Genomic DNA, 24,638 nt, shown 5'->3' with positions numbered 1-24,638 from the left:
AAGTAGAAAAAAAAAAAGAAAAATATAGCGAGGTCTTTTCCCTCAAAGATGCATTGACTGTTTATTAACATTCTTCAGTGAGTCTCCAAGGCAAGTTTGTCCAACCCATGGCCTGTGGGCTGCATGTGACCTAGGATAGCTTTGAATGTGGCCCAACACAAATTCTTTTTTTTTTTTGAGACGAAGTCTCGCTCTGTCACCCAGGCTGGAGTGCAGTGGCACGATCTCGGCTCACTGTAACCTCCGCCTTCCAGGTTCAAGCAATTCTCCTGCCTCAGCCTCCCAAGTAGCTGGGATTACAGGCACCCACCACCATGCCTGGCTAATTTTTGTATTCTTAGTAGAAACGGGGTTTCATCATGTTGGCCAGGCTGGTCTCAAACCCCTGACCTCAAGTGATCTGCCCGCCTTGGCCTCTCAAAGTGCTGGGATTATAGGTGTGAGCCACTGCGCCCAGCCCCAACAGAAATTCTTAAACTTTCTTAAAACATTCCAAGATTTTTCTTGGAATTCTTCTTCTTCTTCTTCTTCTCCTTCTCCTTCTCCTTCTCCTCCTTCTTTCGTCGTCGTCGTCGTCGTCTTCCTTCTTCCTTCTTCCCCTTCCTCCTTCCTCCTTCTCCTTCTCCCTTCTCTCTTCTCCCTTCTTCTTCTTCTCTTTTCTTCTTCTTTTCTTCTTCTTTCTTCTTCTTCTTCCTCTTCCTCTTCATCTCCTTCTCCTCCTTCCTCTTCTTCCTCTTCTTCCTCCTCTTCCTCTTCTTCCTCCTCTTCCTCTTCTTCTTCTTCCTCCTCTTCTTCTTCTTCCTCCTCCTCGTCCTCTTCCTCTTCTTCTTTCTCCTCCTCTTCCTCCTCCTCTTCCTCTTCTTCCTCTTCCTCTTCATCTTCATCTTCTTCTTTCCTTTTCTTTTTTAGCTTATCAGCTTGTGTTAATGTTAGTGTATTTTATGTGTGGCCCAAGACAATTCTTCTTTCTCTAATGTGGCCCAAGGAAGCCAAAAGGTTGGACACCGCTGCTGTAAGACTTGCAGAAAAAAAATAATGGGAATAATAGTAAGAATAATAAAGTAAATAATAAATGATAAAGTAAAAAAACTCTTTAATATGACAATTAAGACCCTTCAAAACCCAACCCTTCATGTCTAGTTCCTTTTCCCCCTACTCCTCAGAACGTTCCATATCTCTGAAGACACTTAGCTACTCCTCATTTCATGAATGTGAGATATTCTCCTCTGCCCTTTGATTCTTGCTCAAGCCATTCCTATTAATTGGAATGTCAGTTTCTTGGCCTTTATCCACCTAGTCAACACCAGTTCATTTTACAGGACTTAGTTCAGACATTATTTCCCCTGAAAAAATTTTTCTGAACCGTACACAAAAAAAGCTTTTATACATATTTTTGTCTTCTCAACCCTACACAAAAATGTTTATATACGTATTTTTGTATCTGTAGGACCTTCTGTTTCAACACTTGTTTTGTCTGTGTACATTTCTCTCTCAATACTAGTCTAGTAACTTCCCAGGAGAGAAGCTAGTGTGTTGTGTTCAATAAATTTTTTAAAATTCAATAGGTCGGATATTTTATATTTCTAAAAATATTTAAGGCAAGGGTTTTGATTTTGTAAGAATTTGTCTTCAAAAGCTTTTCTCGGTAAGTGAGTTGATGTGATTGAATTAATAATAAAATAGTATATTTTAATAAAAGTTTAGAACTTCTGTTATTCCTTGAGTTAAAATTGTGATATGAATGTGGCCACCCTTTCTGTTTAAAAATTCCATTCAAATATTAAATTTTATAGTAGGGAAGCTAATCTATAGAGTTGATTAAAAAATACAGTCCCAAAATTAGAATTATTTGATCCCTAACCATAAGGCCAAAATAAGACAAGGTTATCATTTTCCCTTAGAAACCTCAGCCTCTGCGTTTTTTTTGGTTGTTCTATGGCTTTCCTAGGAAACCTCTCTGGTGGTTTAAGTGCAGTTTTTGAAGAGATTTTTTTTTACAATGAAATAGTACACAACTACCATGTGAAAAAGCAAAGTAATGTTGATCCTTGTTTCTCACATTCATTTAAGATTCTAAAAATGGTTTCACAGTCAATAGCCCTTCATTTTCTTCTGGAGCAGGCAGTTGAGGGTTTTTTTTAGGCTTAGAGAAGTTGTATTGTTTTGCCAAATATGTGTCTTGCCTTAATTTCACTCATATTTTTCACAAAAGCGCAGCAATGAAGCAAACATGTTCAAAACCCTATTCATTATTTTAAAATTTATCATTCTAATCAGTGGAGTATTTTATTTTGAACTCTTCTCTGCAAGGAAGTAAAATCTTTTCAAATTAAAAATTCTATTCTTTGGGCCGGGTGCTGTGGCTCACACCTGTAATCCCAGCACCTGGGAAGCCAAGGCAGGTGGATCGCTTGAGGTCAGGAGTTTGAGACCAGCCTGGCCAACATGGTGAAACCCCATCTCTATTGAAAATACAAAAATTATCCAGGTGTGGTGTCGTGCTCCTATGGTCCCAGCTACTTGGGAGGCTGAGGCAGGAGAATTGCTGGAGCCTGGGAGGTGGAGGTTGCAGTGAGCCAAGATTGTGCCACTGCACTCCAGCCTGGGCCACAAAGTGAGACTTTGTCTCAGGGAAAAAAATAAATAAATAAATAAATAAATAAAAAAGGTTTCTACTCTGGAGGATTGTTCCCTAAATTAATTTCAGGTGAATTAAGATCTTTAGAATATACCTAATCACTTTTTTATCATTTATCTTGTGATCATATCATCCCTGAATCAGGAGGTTTGGGGCAGGTAAGTCAGTCATTCTGTGATCTTTGTAATTGTTTCTAAAACTGATCTTTCCAGACTGCTCATTTTCTGAAATGTGTACTCTGAAATTCCTTCTTTGACCACAAATTGCTATGAATAAAACTCCTAATTTCTGTTGTGTGGTATAACAGAATTTACTTACCTTGGTTTTCTATAGATAGTAAATTTTTCAAAAGTAGGAATCATGTTTTTACCTCTATCTCATTTATTCAATAAATTATTTGAGTGCCTATCGTGAACTAGGCCTTATACTCATCATTGGAGTTATAGCAGAACATGAAGGTACAGTAAGAGATACTGTCCCTACTTTTATATTTGTTTTCCTATCACTTTGCTCTGCACTTTGAACATACTACAGAAATACTGAATATGTGTTTGTCAAAGCAAATAATGATTCCATCCTGTTCTTATAACATTTTTATACTTATTTTTATAGTTAAAATTTTTTTTCCTATGCTTTTCATGCATATGTTTTTCTATGCTGATAGGGGCCATAAAGAAAACTAGAGTTATCATACACACTTGTATAAATTTAAGAATAACAGCAAAGTGGAATTCATATTTTATTTGGCTAAACGGTTTTCAGAGTCATCTTTCTTGTTAGGTCTCCATTTTAAATTATTACCAAAGCCATTTGCTTGGAGCATTTCTCTGGAGAATACTTGCATTGTGTTAAGCTTCAAATTGGTAAGTTGAAAAGGATAGAGAGAACCTATATCCGGCCTTCCAGGTTATCTGAAGGAAGTCAGAGGAGGACATGGGACAACAATTATTTTAATGAATCAGTGCACTATGGAATTATAGAACCATGGAAGAGACTGACACTAGTAGCTTCAACTCTGTATACTAAAGAGCATCTGAAAAGATTAGTGTGATCAAGTGGATTCGAGGATAGTTAGCTAGATTACAGTCTCCCTGAGTCACTTTCCTTATTTTAAAATGTGATCATAGTAGTACTAATCTTACAGAATTGTTGTGATAACTACCTAAGATAATGCATGCTAAGCACCCAGCACACAGTCATATATTTAGGAAACAAAATAAATATGAATTCCTTTTCTCCTCTTTTTCACCTTTGCCACTGTGAGTAGGAATTTCTAGTGGAACAAAGGCTAAGGCTTTTGTGAAAGCCCCCAGTTGTCTTTAGTTAAGTTATACCCCACAGGAATCACAGCAGGATGTGAGAAACTCAAATGCTGGGGCCAGGTTCCCTGTGAAACATGAGGATAGCTTTAAATTGTTAAATGACTTTTAAGTTTTACCAGAAAAACTATATATGAAATACCATTCCATTAAGATGGCTCTGCTAATAAAATTCTGTGTCTGCCTGTAAAAGCTCTTAATAAAGCTTTGTAAAATTGCCAAAGTTTTTTCAAGTTCAAGCATCTACCCAAATAATTTGCTGCGGGGATGTACTTTCTCTGTTCCTCCAGTTTGTTACAGTTTTAACATTGTAATCTGGTTTATTCCTTTTGTGTTCTTTATAGTTTAGGAAACAAAATAGTCTAAATGTTAGCCTTTGTATGATACTTGTATACAAAGAAGAGACTAATGGTTTTACCAACTGATTTAGGTGTAATAAAATAGTAAGTGATATGCGTATCCCTGAAAATAGAATGTTAGATTATAATCTGTTCTTTTTCTAAATCATATGAATATTTAGTAATTGTCATTAAATTTGATCTTGTATACTTATTCTTTAAATGGTAATGGAACCATCCTGAGCCAGGCACATTCATTATCATTTTCTAGGCAAAAAATCATGCAAAGCTGGGACTAAAGGAAGTGAAGAGTAAACTAAAACACAAGGTATGTCATATTCATTTTTTTCCATTTTACCTTGATTCTTGTATTAGTTTGAAGTTTATACTTCCAAATTAGAAATTTGTGTTTTTAATGACATTTGAAATATGCTTAGCCCTTTGTTCAAGAATGTATTTTTTATAACAAGCCCTCTGGCAACTATCTGCTCTTCTGTATGCATTCACTGAATAATCTCTTTACTGTTTGAATATTTTATCACAGAACTATGGAAATCTTCAAAGATGTTTTAACAGGATGTATGTTTTCATAAAGTTAATTGCCTTGATATCACAATTGAAGTTCTTGCTTTATGCTAAGAATATTTTTAAAAGATATCTTTTGTGTAGAAGTAACCCAGGAATGCCAGCATTTGTTTTGATAGTCTCATTCCAATAGTAGTTACTTTAAAATGAAGAATGTTCTTAATTTACAAAATATTATGTATGTATTTAAGTTATGAATATTGCAGATATGTAAATATGTGTATATGTGTGTTGATTTTAATTTGTATCTTCACAGATTTTATTATCAGTTATGTTTTGAATTTTTACCTTTGGAGAAAACATACTACTTAAATCTTCCAGTGTAGTGATAGCAAATTATCTTTATATAAATTTTATTCAGATTATTCAAAGTAATCAAAGATTTTTAATTATTTTTATTAAATTAAATTTATCAGTATAAATAATTAAGATCATTAACCTTATTTAATTAAATTTATTAATTTTGATTATAGAAAAATGCATTTTCTTCTTAAATAGATTCTTTACACTTAAAGCTGAAGTGTTATTTTGCTACTTGTATGTATATCAGATACTTTGTTTATTAATCTAATACGTTAGTAATAAAAGGAGTACTTTACAATTATTGCCTGTATATTTTTTCATGTGTAGGAAAATGAAGAAGATTATGGGACCTGTTCTAGTTCTGTACAATATACACCAGTTTACAAATTACACAATGAAAAGGGAGGAAACTCAGAAAAGCGTAAGCTTGCTCAGGTAAGTAAGGTTATTTACCCTTCATTCCCCCACATTCTCAAATTATATAATTCCAGTAAATTATTTAGGAACAATTTGGATCCACTAATTTTTTATCTTATATGAAAACCTGCAGTATTGGTCAAGGGGAGGAGTTAGTGGAACCTGGGAAGGCTACAAGGGGATTGAGAGTCAAATGTTTCAGATATCGGTCTCTACATGCTTTGTTAGCCCATGCCCTCATAGATCTCATAGTCCAGTGAAGGAAAAGACAATTGAATGTGTGATTCTTATAGAGTGTGAATAGCTTGATGATAAACTGGAAATCATAGGATTCCTTTACTACAAAAATAAAATCAATCTTATACATGGGTATTTGGCCATTAAAATAGTCTATAGAAATTAAAATCTGAACTACTATAAGTCTATCCTATTCTAAAGTTAGATTATTTTATTTGCTATAAATAGTTAAAGCTTCTTTTTATATGCTGATGCTACTTAAAATATTGTTTCAAGTGACTGAGTGTTCAGAATCATAGCTATAAGTGTTCCTGGTTTTTTTTTCATAAGTACATTTATGAAGGCTCTAACTAAACAAAATTGGTATATACAAAATTGTATCTTAAGTGGCCTTAGAAAACTAGCTTCAAAAAAGAATTCTTGAGTGGACTGTAGCTACAAAATTACAGAACTGGAAGTGGCTGCAAAGCTTCATTTATAACAGTTGCCAAGGTTTGCAGATGAGAAAGTTGATAGCTAGAATGGTCACAACACTTGCCATAAGTCTCATAACTGATCAGTGGCAGAAGGAGGCGAAAAGCCATCTCTGATGCTCAGTTAGCTTTCCTGGATAGCCAGGCACCACAGAAGTATACATGGCCATAAGGTGCTTCCAGGGTCTTTGTCTTTGAGCCCATTTTGTGCTGCTGTACCAGAATACCTGAGGCTGGGTAATTTGTAAAGAACAGAAGTTTATTTCTCACAGTTCGGGAGGCTGGAAAGTCCAAGATCAAGGCACTGGCACCTTATGAGGCCCTTCTTGCTGTGTCATCCCATGGTGGAAGGCAGAAAGGCAAGAGAGATGAGGGGGCCAAACTCACCCTTTTATAACAGCACTAATCCCACCCAAGAGGGTGGAACCCTCATGGCCCAATCACCTCTTAAAAGTCCCACTTCTTAATACCATTACAATGGCAATTAAATTTCAACATGAGATTTTGAGAGGACAAAATTCAAACCGTAACAACAGTCTTTAAGAATGGGAAAGGATAGTGAAGCTGTACTGAAACTCTAGTCCTTTGTAAAAAAAAAAAAAAAAAAAAAAAAAATCCCATTAATTCAGTCATTCATCAACACTATATGCCACACACTTTTCTAGATACCAGGTATATATAAAAGGAAAACACAAAAATTCTCTGCTTTCATGGGACTGTTTTTGTAACATACTGAGTATTTCCTCGTGATTATTCATTTATTAAGCTGATATTTTCACATTAGAATTGTGTGATTGTAGCATACTGATAGTCAGTACTGATTGTCTGTTCTAAAATAAGCCCTTCAATAAAATAATTATTCCCGAAGTCAGAAACCTTTTCTTGTTACTGCTGTTAACTGGAGAACATTTATTAATGTGTGAACTAATAATGGATTTGCTATTGATTTTTCTGTTGTTTTTTTTCCCACCACTAATATGTTCAATTCTTGTCTGTTTTCAAGCTTTAACATCTCAAATACTGTTGTAAAATGTTTATGGCTTAATATGGAGCATTTAGGTTATCTTTACCATGGCGAGTAGATTTTCTGTGAAAACGAATATGAGATCTTTGTTACCTATAGGATACTTTAAGATGTAAAAAAACATTATTTATATTGGAGAAACACATTTCCTAAATATCAGTTTCAAATTACGACAACTACTATTAGCTCCTCATATTTTAATTAATTTATTTTTCATTACAAGTTGATGGTTTATAATTATATAAATTTATAGGGTCTAAAGTAATGTTATGATTCATGAATGTAATGTGGACTAATTAAATAAAGCTAGTTAACATATCCATCACCTCAAATACTTAACATTTTTTGCGGGAAGAACATTTGAAATTTACTCTCTTAGCAATTTTAAAATGTACAGTACTCTGTTATTAATTATATTCACCATGCTGTAAAGTAGATCTTAAAAAAAAATTTTAAAGTCTTCTTTCCTTTAACATGCATAGCATTTTTATGATAATGTAATTAAAAAATACATTACTGATTTCTGTTTTTGTTTTCTGTTAACTTCTAGAGACAATTTCTTTTTTTATTATATATATTTAACGTGTATAACATGATGTTTTGATATACATATACATAACGAAATGATTACTGCCCTCAAGCAAATTAACACATCTATTATCTTACCTGTTTTTTTGCAAAGTAAGAACACCTAAAATCTATTCTCTTAGTAATTTTCTAGTATACAATACAATATTATTAACTATAGTCCTCACACTGTACATTCTGATAGAGAAAATTGTATTAGGTTACGGAAAACCTTATAGAATAATGGGTTCCATTCAGTGTATACTTACACTAAGTCTTCAGGGCTACTATATATTATCATTAATTCAGTTATCTGCATTGATTAGCATTTTATGGTTTACAGTAGACATGACAGCAATAATTATAACAGGAATTGAGAGGAGTAGGGCTTATTCTTTAAGAATTCTAACATGATTTTCCTACCTGGTGTATAAGAATTGATTAAACATACATGTTTAGAATTGTGATGCAAATGTTGATAATATCTGAATAACAATCTTTAGTTTTCAAATGATAAATATCTGAGTTTCAGGAAACATGTATACCCAGTATGTATGTTTCTTTGTATTCGTTATGTGTCCCATTATATAAATAGGTAAATATATCTGTGTGTTGTATGTATCTTTTTTTTTTTTTCTCTGAGACGGAGTCTTGCTCTGTCCCCCAGGCTGGAGTGCAGTGGTGCGATCTCGGCTCACTGCAAGCTCCGCCTCCTGGGTTCACGCCATTCTCCTGCCTCAGCCTCCCAAGCAGCTGGGACTACAGGCACCCGCCACCACGCCTGGCTAATTTTGTTTTTGTATTTTTAGTAGAGACGGGGTTTATGTTAGCCAGGATGGTCTCGATCTGCTGATGTCATGATCTGCCCGCCTCGGCCTCCCAAAGTGCTGGGATTACAGGCATGAGCCACCGAGCCTGGTCTGTGTTGTATATATCTTAATAGCAAAATTTTTAAGAGTTCATATCCTGCCTACTAATATCTATTATAATTTAGGATTTTGCTTGCATTTTTTTCTGTAATTGAAATTTGATTTTTTAGTTTTAGATTCACATATGTATTTGACAAAGAGCTAAATTTTGGGCCCTCTAGCAATTGTTTTCTGCTACATTTCACCCTTAATTTTTTTCCCAAGGCTTCCAGAGTCCATGCTATCTTGCATTACTAATGTTACTTCTTTGAATTGATGTTGGGTTGTTACTGCTTTGAAATGATAGCCAATTGGTGGCCAACAGTTTATTTATAAAAGCAGAGCGGGTACGTTTACATTGAAATTATCATCAAATCCTTGATTTTAATTATTTAGTTTTAATAGTGTTAGCAAACTCACAAATTAAATAAAATAATATCAAGCCATTTATTATAAGGATATAGGCATTCTTTAGGACATCTAATTGCAGGAATATATCTAGGCTTCCGGTAGGATTAGAACTAGGAAATGGAAAAAGTAATCAGGGAAGAATATCAGCTTCTCTCCCTACTCATCTCATGTCATCTCATCTCATCTCATCTCATCTCATCTATCTCTCTCTCTCTCTCTCTCAATCTCTCTCTCTCCCTCTCTCCCTCCCTCCGTCTCTCTCCCTCTTTTCCTCTCTCCCTCTCTGTCCCTTTTCTTCTTCCTCTTCTTTTCTCCATCTTCCTCCCTCTCCCATCCCCTGTTCCTTCATTTCTCTCCTCCCCTCCCACTCCCCCTTTAATGCTTGGCCTGTTCTTTCTGCTTATTTGTTCATTGTGCATTCTGTAGACTGGTTTTCTCAGCTTCTCTGTGTCCTTGACACAGATCTTATAGGCCCTCAGTTGAAGCAGCCACTAGAAATGGATAATAATTCTAGAATCCAGTTCCTTAAGGAAGAATGTAATCAGCTCACTTGGACCAGGCATTAATTCTTCGTTCAATAAACTCCAGCCAGAGAGGCAAGGAGAGTACCATGTTACCAAGGACACAGGAAGGGCAGTAGAGGTGAGTGGGGTGAACAGGGGAAGCAGTTCTCAGAGAAGTGGTTTTAAGGACTGTGACAATATCTCACAAGATGTCTACTGTTTCTGATTGCTTCACACTATTTTGCTTTTCAATGTTTAATTTACCTACAGTTAGTGTGGTCAAAACATATTAAATGAAAAATCCCAGAAATAAATAATTCATAAACTTTTAATGACATGCTGTTCTGAGTATTACTATAATTGTTCTTTTTCAGTATCAGTTATTGTTGTTAATCTCTTACTGTGCTTCATTTATAAATGAAACTTTATCATAGGTATGTATGTTTAGGAAAAAACATAGTTTGTATAGGGTTTGGTACTAACTGTACTTTCAGGCACCCAGTGGGGGTCTTAGAACATATCCCCCGTGGGTAAGGGGGAACTGCCATAATGCTATTTGCCAAAAAGTCATATTTGCAAAATAACAAAAACAGATCTGCATTTTTAAATGCCTGGAGGCTGGAAATTTGTACCACAAATCTGGGGTTTGATAAGTTTAAGGTCAGCCTACCCTAATGGATTGATGTTGCCTTCTCTCCTGAGAATTGAGCCACTTACACTAGCAAAAAAGGCTACAGGTGGAAATGAATTTAGGGTACTATATTTGCACATTGGGCAAGGAAATCAAAAGGCATCAGCCATAGTCTGCTGCCTTTTCTTTGCAGTCTGATATTGCAGAAGCTTCTTTGGTTCACTTTTCTGGAGATAATCCAGCCCCATTGATTTAAGTGAAATATGATACAGTATGTTATGGAAGAGGCAGAAAGCTGATGCTAGAGCCACGGGCATACTGTCGCATGATGATTACCAAATCCAGGAATTCTCTTACTCCTAACTCTCCAAGTATAATAATATTGGTATCTGAGTATATTAAGATTTTCAACTAAATATGTAATGTTTCTAGAAATATTTGGATGTGGTTAAAGTCTAGTTATCAGCATGTATGTCAGAGAAACTAATGTCTATTCATTTATATTCTACCTATTTCCAAAAATACTTTAATATCTTACAAAGAACCTTAAAAAGATTAAACTGTATTAAAATTAGGTAAGTTTTAAGGCAGAGAAAATGTTAAATGTAGTTAAGAAGCTGTTAAGGCCTATTCCCTGCACAGCCAAAAAGAAGAGAAAAGCACAGCTACATGATTCATAATCCGCAAAGTTTTGGTTTTTAAAAAGTTGCTTATGAATTACCCAGTCATTCCAAAGAAATAGGTTAGATGTTTTAGATCCACAAATCTTTTCAGTGTCACAAGAGTTCACATTCTGGTGGAGGTACCTAGCAGAGACAAAGACTTTTGTTTTGGAAGACAGAAATTTAGTTTTCTTCATTTAGTCTTTTCTGTGCTGTTTCTATTATTTGAAATGCTCAGTCTCATTAATACCTCTCTCAAAGACAGCTTAGTTTACTAGCTGTTGAACCTCATTAAAAAAGGTGAAAACAGGTACAAGTGGAAATAATATACACTCTTTTCTTCCTACTGTAAGGCTACTGAAGAGTAGCATCACTGTCATGTTAGAACTGGCTCAAGTATCCAAATTCTTTTAAAAGATTTGTTTTGAGAAGTGTCTGTTCATGTCCTTCGCCCACTTTTTGATGGGGTTGTTTGTTTTTTTCTTGTAAATTTGTTTGAGTTCATTGTAGATTCTGGATATTAGCCCTTTGTCAGATGAGTAGGATGCGAAAATTTTCTCCCATTTTGTAGGTTGCCTGTTCACTCTGATGGTAGTTTCTTTTGCTGTGCAGAAGCTCTTTAGTTTAATTAGATCCCATTTGTCAATTTTGTCTTTTGTTGCCATTGCTTTTGGTGTTTTGGACATGAAGTCCTTGCCCACGCCTATGTCCTGAATGGTAATGCCTAGGTTTTCTTCTAGGGTTTTTATGGTTTTAGGTTTAACGTTTAAATCTTTAATCCATCTTGAATTGATTTTTGTATAAGGTGTAAGGAAGGGATCCAGTTTCAGCTTTCTACATATGGCTAGCCAGTTTTCCCAGCACCATTTATTAAATAGGGAATCCTTTCCCCATTGCTTGTTTTTCTCAGGTTTGTCAAAGATCAGATAGTTGTAGATATGCGGCATTATTTCTGAGGGCTCTGTTCTGTTCCATTGATCTATATCTCTGTTTTGGTACCAGTACCATGCTGTTTTGGTTACTGTAGCCTTGTAGTATAGTTTGAAGTCAGGTAGTGTGATGCCTCCAGCTTTGTTCTTTTGGCTTAGGATTGACTTGGCAATGCGGGCTCTTTTTTGGTTCCATATGAACTTTAAAGTAGTTTTTTCCAATTCTGTGAAGAAAGTCATTGGTAGCTTGATGGGGATGGCATTGAATCTGTAAATTACCTTGGGCAGTATGGCCATTTTCACGATATTGATTCTTCCTACCCATGAGCATGGAATGTTCTTCCATTTGTTTGTGTCCTCTTTTATTTCCTTGAGCAGTGGTTTGTAGTTCTCCTTGAAGAGGTCCTTCACATCCCTTGTAAGTTGGATTCCTAGGTATTTTATTCTCTTTGAAGCAATTGTGAATGGGAGTTCACCCATGATTTGGCTCTCTGTTTGTCTGTTGTTGGTGTATAAGAATGCTTGTGATTTTTGTACATTGATTTTGTATCCTGAGACTTTGCTGAAGTTGCTTATCAGCTTAAGGAGATTTTGGGCTGAGACCATGGGGTTTTCTAGATAAACAATCATGTCGTCTGCAAACAGGGACAATTTGACTTCCTCTTTTCCTAATTGAATACCCTTTATTTCCTTCTCCTGCCTGATTGCCCTGGCCAGAACTTCCAACACTATGTTGAATAGGAGCGGTGAGAGAGGGCATCCCTGTCTTGTGCCAGTTTTCAAAGGGAATGCTTCCAGTTTTTGCCCATTCAGTATGATATTGGCTGTGGGTTTGTCATAGATAGCTCTTATTATTTTGAGATACGTCCCATCAATACCTAATTTATTGAGAGTTTTTAGCATGAAGGGTTGTTGAATTTTGTCAAAGGCCTTTTCTGCATCTATTGAGATAATCATGTGGTTTTTGTCTTTGGCTCTGTTTATATGCTGGATTACATTTATTGATTTGCGTATATTGAACCAGCCTTGCATCCCAGGGATGAAGCCCACTTGATCATGGTGGATAAGCTTTTTGATGTGCTGCTGGATTCGGTTTGCCAGTATTTTATTGAGGATTTTTGCATCAATGTTCATCAAGGATATTGGTCTAAAATTCTCTTTTTTGGTTGTGTCTCTGCCTGGCTTTGGTATCAGAATGATGCTGGCCTCATAAAATGAGTTAGGGAGGATTCCCTCTTTTTCTATTGATTGGAATAGTTTCAGAAGGAATGGTACCAGTTCTTCCTTGTACCTCTGGTAGAATTCGGCTGTGAATCCATCTGGTCCTGGACTCTTTTTGGTTGGTAAACTATTGATTATTGCCACAATTTCAGAGCCTGTTATTGGTCTATTCAGAAGACATTTATGCAGCCAAAAAACACATGAAGAAATGCTCATCATCACTGGCCATCAGAGAAATGCAAATCAAAACCACTATGAGATATCATCTCACACCAGTTAGAATGGCAATCATTAAAAAGTCAGGAAACAACAGGTGCTGGAGAGGATGCGGAGAAATAGGAACACTTTTACACTGTTGGTGGGACTGTAAACTAGTTCAACCATTGTGGAAGTCAGTGTGGCGATTCCTCAGGGATCTAGAACTAGAAATACCATTTGACCCAGCCATCCCATTACTGGGTATATACCCAAATGAGTATAAATCATGCTGCTATAAAGACACATGCACACGTATGTTTATTGCGGCACTATTCACAATAGCAAAGACTTGGAACCAACCCAAATGTCCAACAATGATAGACTGGATTAAGAAAATGTGGCACATATACACCATGGAATACTACGCAGCCATAAAAAATGATGAGTTCATATCCTTTGTAGGGACATGGATGAAATTGGAAACCATCAGTCTCAGTAAACTATCGCAAGAACAAAAAACCAAACACCGCATATTCTCACTCATAGGTGGGAATTGAACAATGAGATCACATGGACACAGGAAGGGGAATATCACACTCTGGGGACTGTGGTGGGGTTGGGGGAGGGGGAAGGGATAGTATTGGGAGATATACCTAATGCTAGATGACACATTAGTGGGTGCAGCGCACCAGCATGGCACATGTATACATATGTAACTAACCTGCACAATGTGCACATGTACCCTAAAACTTAGAGTATAATAAAAAAAATAAAATAAAATAAAATAAAAATAAATGAAAAAAAAAAAAAAAGAAAAAAAAAAAAAAAAAAGATTTGTTATGTGGTGAATTTAATTGCCTAAAGGCAAATTTCTGCAGGGACCTTTGTGATTTTTGTAATCTAGATAATTTTCATGTTCCTACTACTATTTTTCAAACTTCAATTTTTATACAGTTGAAATAGTAGAAAAATGCCCTAGAGCAGCCTCAGAAGACCTGGAAAAGATGGACAGTTTTTTGATAACAGTGAGGCTGTCTGTGTATGTTTGTATTTACGTGATTCATTTAAAACTTCCAACAATCCAGTCAGGGCAAGAATTATTATCCGCGTTTTTCAGATTTAGAAACAAATGGAGACTAATAAATGTGCCCAGAGTTCTACAAGTAATAAATAGCAGAATAGGAATTAAAAAGCAGGCAGACTGATTCTAGAACTTAGGTACCTAACCACTATTGTCATGCCTTTATGTTGGATGGAGTGATTGTAGAAGAGGGATAGTTAGAAATAAGGATATGGAGTTTAGAGCCAGACAGAACTTAACTTTGAAAAAGGTACTAGGATTTAACATTGAGCAAAACAAAATATCCCTAAGCCTTAATGTTTACATTTGTAAAATAATAATACAAGTTATTTTCCCAGGATGCTATAGGCATTATAGATAATGTATATAAAATATCTGCCACATAATAAGTACTTGATAATCGGTAGCTGTTTGTTTATGGTTACCATATCATATATCTTGAACTCCAGGTCTCTGTAGCAGTGGCACCATCTGATTTCTCTCTTGGTAGTTATAGTCCAGGATCACTAATAATCTCTAATCACTAAAGTAGTTAGGACTCCTAAAATTATCCATCTTCATTCTAAGTAGGGATGATCATAGATCCCAGTTTATGACTTGAATAGAAATATAAAACTTATTGTACCAAGAAATATCTTATTTATAAGTTTAGAAGACCTTGAGTATGTCATTTTATTGTGAGTAAAATTGAGTATAGTCTTCACTCATCCTATTCCTAGTCCATTTGATTATTCATTTCAGAAGTGGATCTCAGTTGTCTAAAGAACTTTACATTTCCAGTTTCCAGCTAGACTTGTCAGTGAGAGACTTTATTTTCATCTGTTTTTCAAAAGATGAAAATGGGATTATGATCATTTAAATTCCAAGAATGTATTTTAAAGTAAAACATTATGAAGTTTTACAATCTGTGTGCTGTAGAAAAGAACAAAGTTCTAAGCCTGTGTTTTAAACCTGTTTTCCATTATTTAGCTTATCTTTGGAATAGATTGTGAATCTATAGTCCACATCCAACAAATAGTAATTTGTGTGCTGGTCTGCTAATTAGTATGGCTGTTGCTCGTTTTGTTGATGAGGCTTAAATAAATGTCAAGGGTACAGCCATGAAGATCTCCCAATTAGGCTCCACATTTGTAAAACCCAACCCTTTTCCCTTTTGTGTAAAGATGACAGTTCCAACAGCAGCCCCAGCCTAACAGGACTCCAGGGAAAGGATCCTTCTCTGGTTTTATTGAAAACAGGGCCAGTGAGTCCACTGAGAATATAGCCACTGGTCATGGTGCAGAACAGTCTTAATCCTATGTACTTATGTTCTTTCATCAGTTTTATTTTAGAATAGAATACTGGAGACTTAGTGAAAAATATAAGATAACATAAATCTATAATCTGAGATTATGTTTAAAAATACTTACTTGTAAACATTTACTAACATTTTCTTTTCTAAGAATAAGAAATTTCTTTAAATAATATGTAAAAGTTATATATATCTGAGATATTGCTCCATATTAGCCATGCGTGGCTTAGTCTAGCAGTTATAATGTGTATGTTTCTGTGTGTCTTCATGAGACTCACAGACACCTCAACTATACTAGTGAACAAGCATGAGAGCTTAGCTGTATTACAAGTCGACATTAACAGATGGATGGCCCTAAGCAAGGCAAAATCACCACAACAAAACCTAGGGAAAGTGGGGGACTGAAGCTTTTTGTTGTTAAGCCCTATTAAAACCCTGGCACACGCATATGCACACACACACCCACCCACCCACACATACACATGTGCGCGCGTGCACACACACACACACACATATATATACACACATATATATACATATATACACATATATACATATATATACATATATACATATACACACACACACACACACACACACACATATATATATATATATATATATATATATATATATATATATCACTCTTAACTATTTCATGTCGGGAAAAATAGCAATATTTTTAGATTTTCAACCTCCAGTTAATTATGTAAAAACAGCATGAGAAAATGAGTGGAAAGTTATTTTTCATTTGCAGTGTGATACAAAGCAGTATGCTTGTTGATAAATACTCTCACTTGGAATGTTACCCAAATAAAGTGTTTACAAATAGAAATATGTTTAATAGTCATAATTTCTACTATTAGACCAAGCACTATTAAACTGGTGGACGTTTATTTTACTTAATATAGTCACATACAGACTAATAGTTTTGAGGTATAAAGAGTTATCTTTTGAATGCACAAATAAGAATTTTTTTTTTTTTTTGAGATGAGTCTCGCTCTGTCACCCAGGCTGGAGTGCAGTGGCGGGATCTCGGCTCACTGCAAGCTCCGCCTCCCGGGTTCACGCCATTCTCCTGCCTCAGCCTCCCAAGTAGCTGGGACTACAGGCGCCCGCCACTACGCCCGGCTAATTTTTTGTATTTTTAGTAGAGACGGGGTTTCACCGTTTTAGCCGGGATGGTCTCGATCTCCTGATCTCGTGATCCGCCCGCCTCGGCCTCCCAAAGTGCTGGGATTACAGGCGTGAGTCACCGCGCCCGGCCATAAGAATGTTTTAAGCATAAAATATAATCTGTGATTTTATATTTTTATCCATTATACAAGGTGATATCACACTTAGAAATGAAACTTTTTGTCTTTTTGGATCTTTATGTATTTAATGGTTTATAAAACATTCTAATGGATTTGTGGAACATAGCACAATAGCTATGAGTTCATTTTATAGTTGATGAGTAACATACTTTTATATTTTAAAATATGCTCAGAAGTCATATATACTTTTATGCATGCAGAGACTTACAAGTAAAGCATTTCAAAGCCATGTTTTGATTGAACAGGGACTTAAGAGAAATCTCAATATGTTAGCATCTTATTTAAAAATATGAGCAATCAAATAGTTTATTTTTATATATAATAAATGTCATATTTTAAAATGCTACAGATGTAATTTTCTGTGAAACTTATAAGAAAAGAATATCTTAGGTTCTCTTAAATTACTTAGTTCCTAAGCATAAGAAAAGATGGGATGTCCACACCTAGTAGGGTGTGGTTTATAGTATTGTATTTATGAAACACTTTCATTCATAGGAATTCATTGGACTCTGGGAATAAAATAAATGTAATTAAATACAATGTTTCTTGTTCGGATGATGTAATAGATTTCGGAAAACTGTATACTTGTTGGGATCTTTGGAAAAATACTATCTATTGAATAGTTTGCCTTACTGGTCAGGAAAGAAATGGTGTACTCAGTGTTTATAGAGGAGAGTAACCACTTACTTTTGACCAAAAAAAAAGTGATTGTAAATCAAAAAAAGAAAGATAGTTGTTACATGGGGTGAGAGTGGGGCAGAAAATTAGAAAGAATACTTTACTTTGTAAAATAAACGTTTACAAAATAATACAAATAATTGAATCAAATCATGATAAGCAAGACAATCTTTATTTTTATCACTGTGTAATTTGGCTCAGTATTGAGAACACTGTTATCAAGCTGAAATGTTAAAGTAATAAGAAAATATTGTAAAACTTCAAGCGATAGGCCAGGCACAGTCGCTCATGCCTGTAATCCCAGCACGTTTGGAGGCCGAGGCAGGCGGATCACTTGAGGTCAGGAGTTCGAGACCAGCCTGGCCAACACGGAGAAACTCCATCTCTACTAAAAATACAAAATTAGCCAGGCATAGTGATGCATGCCTATAATCCCAACTACTCGGGAGGCTGAGGCAGGAGAATCACTTGAACCCGGGAGGCAGAGGTTGCGGTGAGCCAAGATCATGCCAAACTCTGCCTCAGAAAAAAAACAAAAACAAAAAAAAACCTTCAAGTGATCAACTCTTTTGAAATAAGTTAAGTGAATGTTCTTCTTTTAACACACGTCCATGTCCATAAAAAAAATACTGCCTAAATGAAAACACATTTTAGCAGTCAGCGTTCCAAAGATATATGTAGACTAATTATATTAATACTAATGTCAATAATTTATAAATTGATCTTTTGAGTTCACTTTGAAAAATACACTCTCCATATTGTTAATGTGACAGAAAGTTATTTTTCTCTTTTGTTTCTCTGTTGAAATAATATTAATTTCCAAAATATTAAATTTGATTATAATTAAATGTTTGTTTTAAATCAGTTATGGATTACAAGGGTGCCCTCTAGTGGACATTATGTAGTACTTTCCTTAAAAGAAGATAGTTACACAAAAAATTTTTAGCGCCTTTCAGAATAGTGTGTCTTTTAGAAACACAACAGAATACACATTGAGACCTTTATATTGTCATAAGATTATTCAAGAACATAATTCTATCAAATAAATAATTCAAAACCAGCTCCTTTCAATAACTTGCTTGGACTTCATTTTTAAAATGTTTAGCTCTGCTGAACAATACTAGTATATTAATAACATATAATGGAAGATAATCTTTTTATGTGAACATGTTCAGTATATATTTTGAGACATTTTAAAGTTGACATGTACCTTAATGTTGTAATTTTACTCTTCAAATTTATTGCCAGAAATGACTGACATTTATTACAATGTCTTGAAACAAAAACAAAGGTACTCAATTTCTCCATTTAGTAAATCTAGTGAATACTACCATTCTAGACTTTACATCAGTAATCACATCATTAATATTTTTTCCTCCCTATATTCTGTCCTATTTGACTTTGTTTTTTTTCCCTGTTGCCTTTTTTGTTTGTAAGGGGTCTTGATTAAATTAACAACAGTTCTCTATTCCAAAAGTGCCTACCTTTTGTAAACAAATTATTATTGTTTTCCAAGAATCTTAGGATAAAGAAATGCTGATTTTCTTCTGGTTTTGAATATAGAGCTGCTTTTAAAGTTTGTCAGAGATCAATGCTGGTGTTGATGAAAGGAAAAACCAGTCTTTTCTTTGTAGGGCTACTGCTGCTGCCTATTAGTGTCCCCCAAGAGAAAGGAATTTTCAGAAATGTCAATAGATCTCTAACTATGGGGGTATAATAGGATCTTATAATTTGAGCTGGATTTGTATCTGCTACACATTGTTATATTTCCTAACATGTTTTCCTAACATAAAACACTAGAATAATACATAAATATCTTAAGTTGGCCTGTGCGCCTATACTAATTACAAAATAGGACTATGTTTTTCAACCTTCTCTGAAGTTTCTTTATGGCTTTTCTAACATATGAATATAATATCAGTTATTTCACAGATCTGTTCTCTTTTTGCCTTTATTAGTGTCTTTGACGTTTATAGTAAATGCTTTTGAAAACTAGTATTATTTGATTCTGACACCAAAATATAATTGCAATTTCTGTTAAGACCTTTGATTCATTTAACACCAGAAGCATTTTAATACTCTACTTATGTGTGATTCCACACATACACATTTATGTTCATTATATATTAATATGGTAAATCTGAGAAATAAAATGCAGCTATAATTATTTTACTAACAAATATTTTAACCCTTAGCTGTATATTTTTTGAAAACATAATTTACTAAGGTGATTGAAAATAATATGGTTCTTTTCTTCAGTACTGACTTCTAAATTATTTATCCCAGCTAGAAAAGTCATCTTCACATTAGTTAGTGAGAGGAACTGAATTCTGTGTCTTACTGATAATACAGTAGACTTGTCATGTATTAAGAAACCTTTTTAAATGTTGAAATATTGAAACCCTGTCAACAAAAGTGAAATTGCAAATAGCTTACCATTTATCAAAGGGTTACTGACTTATTTATTTTGTTTTGAGAATACTATTTAATAGTCTTATAAAACTTGTATTTGCACTGATCAATAATCTTTTGGTCCTGAAAAGTTAGTGCAGGGTCTTTGGTAGAATTTGCATTTTCAAATATTAAAGACCAGAAAAAAATAATGAAACAATGTATTTTAAAAATTTAAAATTGATATAATTACTTGGCATATGAACTATCTTTAAAAGTTGGCTAAAAGTATTAACAGTTCACAACCATACTACATATAAACACAGGTGAATAATGAGACCTCCTGTGAATACAAGACCTTCTTTCTACCTATTAACACACTTCAGTGAGAGACAGTCTTTTAGAATCCCTGATAGAGTGCTGCCATTGAATGGGTTTTTATGTAGTTTCTGATTAACAATGGGGAAATGAATTATAAACTACTGTGTTTCTGGGATCTTTTAGATAGAAACTAAACTTCCTAATCTGTGTTCAGTAAAAGCAGTCTGTAAAGGGGTCAGTTCTGATTTCTCATATTCTCTCTAAAATCTAATATGCAGATTTCTTTAGTCAAATTCTAGAACAGACCCCAACTTAGCATTAATAAGCATTTAATGCATTGTGAACATAATGGACATACCATAATGGAGAGTCTGTCTAATTCAGTTCAACACAACCAGTATCTAGCGTGTGCTGGTTTACAGCTTTCGAGATTGTATACCTCCTCTGAACACCTACTTTGTGCTAGGCCTGCTGATCTAGAGCTTTCAAGATCACTTATCTCCTCTTAACTTACTAAGGACCATTATTTACAAATTCAGAAAGACTTTACTTCATTGATGTTTATTTTTACTCTTCCTTTTTACATCCAACCATCACCCTCATCACTTAATAGAAAGACCCCCTGCGGGAATGTAAAGATTCCAGGCTTTGTAGTATAAGAGATCAGGATCAGAACAGTGTGCCGCTTGGATGGTATGTGAACTTGAGTAACTTTCCTAACTTCTCTAATCCTCTTAGCCCTCAGATCTATAAAATATTGATAATTATATCCACTTCCATAGAGTTATTGTGAAGATTAGAATTAGTGTAGTGACAGAATTTGTTCTTCCAGCAGTCACCAGAAGTTTCATAAATATTAGTAATATTGTTTATATCCTGTCAACTTTTAACAACAACATACCAAAAAAAAATTAATGAATGCCAACTATGCGTTGGGAGCAGAATGAATTAGACTGGTTTCTAATATCCCTCAGTTCTTGGATGCTCTGTTTTGTTTCTTCTTGTTGATTTTTTTGTTTGTCTTATTTTTCCTGCTCTCTTCTTCCTTTGTGTTTCATTTTGAATAATTTCTATTGACCTGTCTTAAAGAGCACAGAATCTTTCCTTAGTCTTCCAATGGGCCCATCAGAAGAATTCTTCATGTCTTACATCATTTGAGTTTTTTTTATCACTTGACTTAAAAAAAAAATAGATTCCATTTCTCTGCTATCGTTCCATCTATTCATGCATGTTGTCCATCTTTATTTTTCTTGCTTTTTCATGTCTTATAATTCTTAATTGAACAATGGACCCCATGTATAGAAAGAGTTAAACAGCATTTACACCCAGAAATGGGTAGAAACAGTTAAATAGTATTTACACCTAGAAACTGGCAGGCTCTTCTTCTATCATGCTGTTTGTATAAGAGGCTGAGTCCATCGGAAAATGAACTGGATTTTGATTTTGTTGATATCATTGCCTGTAATGGGCTGCTATTATCTTGTGCTTAGAGTAGAGTCTTCTAAAGAAGGTACTGGAAAGCTTTCTCAGTGTTCTTGCTTCACTCTGAGCTATCAGCAGTCCTGGAACCCCTGAGCTATATAGAGGCTTTTCTTTCAATGTTTTTGCCCCTCCAAAGCAGTTAACATCTGTGACTAGTTAGTTGATCCTAGCCTTATGTGTTCTCTATGCTTGTCTTAAGTGGGCCATGCGCCCCCGTGCCTTAGGAGTGGGACTTTCTTAGCATCCTTCCACTTTCTTTTCATGGCAGAGAAACTTCCTTATATCTGTGATTGGTCTTAGGTGGCCGAGGCTTTTCTGCCCTGCTCAGTGGTAGTAGACCTCTGCTTGGTATCAATATAGGATTCTGTTCTTAAGAAGGCTTCTTATTCTTCCCTAGGGCAGATAAAGGTTTTACTTCTACATTTCCCCCAGCAGTCTTGGGAGGCAGTGAGTTTGTCAGCAGTTTAAGGCTTTTGTTTTATATAAATGAATGTCCTCAAAGGTCATTGGGACTTCATGCCTGTCCCTGTGCAGCCTGTCACTTCCTGCAAGCCTGAACCACCAAGGGGAGTGCTTTTCAGTCTCCTGTACTGCTCCCAATTTTTCTTATGAGCACGAGGTAGTAGAGTTACCTCAATTGGAAATAAAATTAAAGAAATTTACATATGGAAAAGAGCTTGCGTGTGCAAACTCCCCCTGTCTTTGAGACGCTCAGCTATTCTAAGCTGACATGTTAGCCCATGGTTGGCCTTTAAGACCTTATTGACATTTTAGCAGATTTTTTTCTTACCTGTTTATATGGCAGCTACCTCTTCCCTTGTGCTTTGCCAATGGTGAAATTAATCCTGTCTCTCATCTCTCCTTGGAGGAGCTTCTAATATATGAAATTCAGTTTACTTGGTTGACTTGCAACACAGGTCTCATAGGTTCAACAAAAATTATGATTTTTTAAAAAGATTATCCAGCTTTTTCTCATTGTTAGGATGGGAGTGACATTCTCTTGCAGGTTTTACCTTCTAAGTTGAAGTGGAAGTGATATTAGAAGCAAAACAAATGAAAAGATATGATTCTTAGTCTCAAGGATTTGGTAAGAGAGGAATGTACTTAAAATTAAACACTGCCTTTATAATGGAGAATATATCAGATGACAGTTGAGTGGTAGAGAAATAAGTGAATAAAACTGACAAGGATTCTGAAATCACTATGGACTGGGAGAATTGGTAAAGGGTCCTTGGATGTGTTACGGCCACATCAGAATCTTTCCTAGTGACCTAGTCTCACATAGCAGTCACCTGCTCAAGGAATGTAATTCTGATGCTTGTGTAAAATTTTGTGTCCTTAGCCTAATAATAACAGCCCTTAATCAACTGAATTCATCAGACTTCACCAAATACGTATCTTGATAATCTTCCAGTTTGCCTTTTTGCCCTGACACGTATGTTTTCAGCATATTTCGCAAAGTATGTTCAGCTCTTGTCTCTTCATCCTGACATCTCACCTACCTGGAACATTAGCACTCTTATTATTCTGAAACTACCACTTGCCTTAAAAAATGAGATTTATAGCTTGCCATTTTTAGAGCTAGCCTTTCTCAGGCTAGTTCTTGGACATTTATTTCTTCTGGGTCTCTCTGGACTTATTTATCTAGCATAGTTATGATGAAAACAGTTCTGTTCATGAGTCAGAACACTTGGGTTGGAGTCACATTCTGTCACTTATGATTTACCTTGTCTTGCCCAAGTCACTTTGCTTTGTTAATCTTTTGGTTTCCTAATATGTAAAATAGAGAAAATGTTCACCAAATTTGTTGTATAGTAGATATTTAAATGAAATAAAATACAGTACATAAAGTAGCTAACACATTGAAGCAAGTCAATCATGGGTAAGTCTTTTAACTCTTTAGTTATTACCTATACAAATTAAAACACATCTTTTTAAAGCTTGTTTTGAATTATAAACTGCCATGCATTTTAAGATGTCACTATTATAATTATACATTATTATTTAATTTATTCACATATTATTTCATGCAGGTATTTTTTTCTTAGGCTGCAAAATACATAAGCTTGGGGATTTGTTGTAGACTTTAGATAAGCAAGGTAACACTTCTGGATCTCAGTTGCCTCAACTGTAAAATGGAGGGTAGTACAGATTGTACCTACTTTCAAAAAATTTATGTATTACAAGCATCTTAATTTTCTTATGTCTAAAAAGTTATATTTTCTCATTCGTCTGCCTATATCCCTTATTCCTTCCCCTCCCAAACCCCAGGAATTTAAATTTACCCTGCATTTTGCCTTTTTAATATTTGTCTGCCACCTGGTGATCAAAATGGTAACTGCAAGGTTAACAGTCTCCTTGGTGCATCAGGGGAGTGATTTTCATCATTCTACTTTCTGATTCACTTTCTGGAAACCATTGCAGTGAAAAGAAAGATTTATTTTGCTTACTGTAACGAAACTAAACTTATTTCTTGAGATCTCCTCAGACATTAAGTTCTATGATTTTGTGTCTTGGTCCTTCTACCTCTGTCACATTTTGTGTACATTTTCTTACATTTTTTTCTTTCATATAAAATACTTTTCCTTCTTGTCTTTACCAGTATATATTTTTTCACTTAGTGTCCACCTGTAGGGTCAGTGTTTCTAGTAGAATATCTCCTCTAGTAAGTTGTATTGCATGCTGATAGCCTTTTTCATTAGTTTAGTACCTTT

General features: G+C 35.0%; 1 protein-coding gene across 12 annotated transcripts in view; it reads left to right on the top strand.

Annotated features, from left to right (window-relative positions):
• The window catches only part of DENND1B (DENN domain containing 1B), a 277,403-nt gene that overhangs the window by 236,569 nt on the left and 16,196 nt on the right, over positions 1-24,638 (top strand). For all 12 annotated transcript variants that reach the window (NR_125340.2, XM_011509248.3, XM_047447711.1 and 9 more), the window contains 2 exons: positions 4,567-4,623; positions 5,511-5,618. Coding sequence is in view for 11 of the 12 variants with exons in the window: in XM_011509248.3 (XP_011507550.1) it covers positions 4,567-4,623; positions 5,511-5,618 (165 nt within the window). In the remaining variant the exon portion in view is untranslated. The remainder of the gene's footprint in view (positions 1-4,566; positions 4,624-5,510; positions 5,619-24,638) is intronic.

Source organism: Homo sapiens, chromosome 1 (genome assembly GCF_000001405.40).
Source record: "Homo sapiens chromosome 1, GRCh38.p14 Primary Assembly".
NCBI lineage: Eukaryota > Metazoa > Chordata > Mammalia > Primates > Hominidae > Homo > Homo sapiens.
The sequence above is the reverse complement of the archived record's forward strand: the minus strand, read 5'-3'. Positions and strand labels throughout refer to the sequence as shown.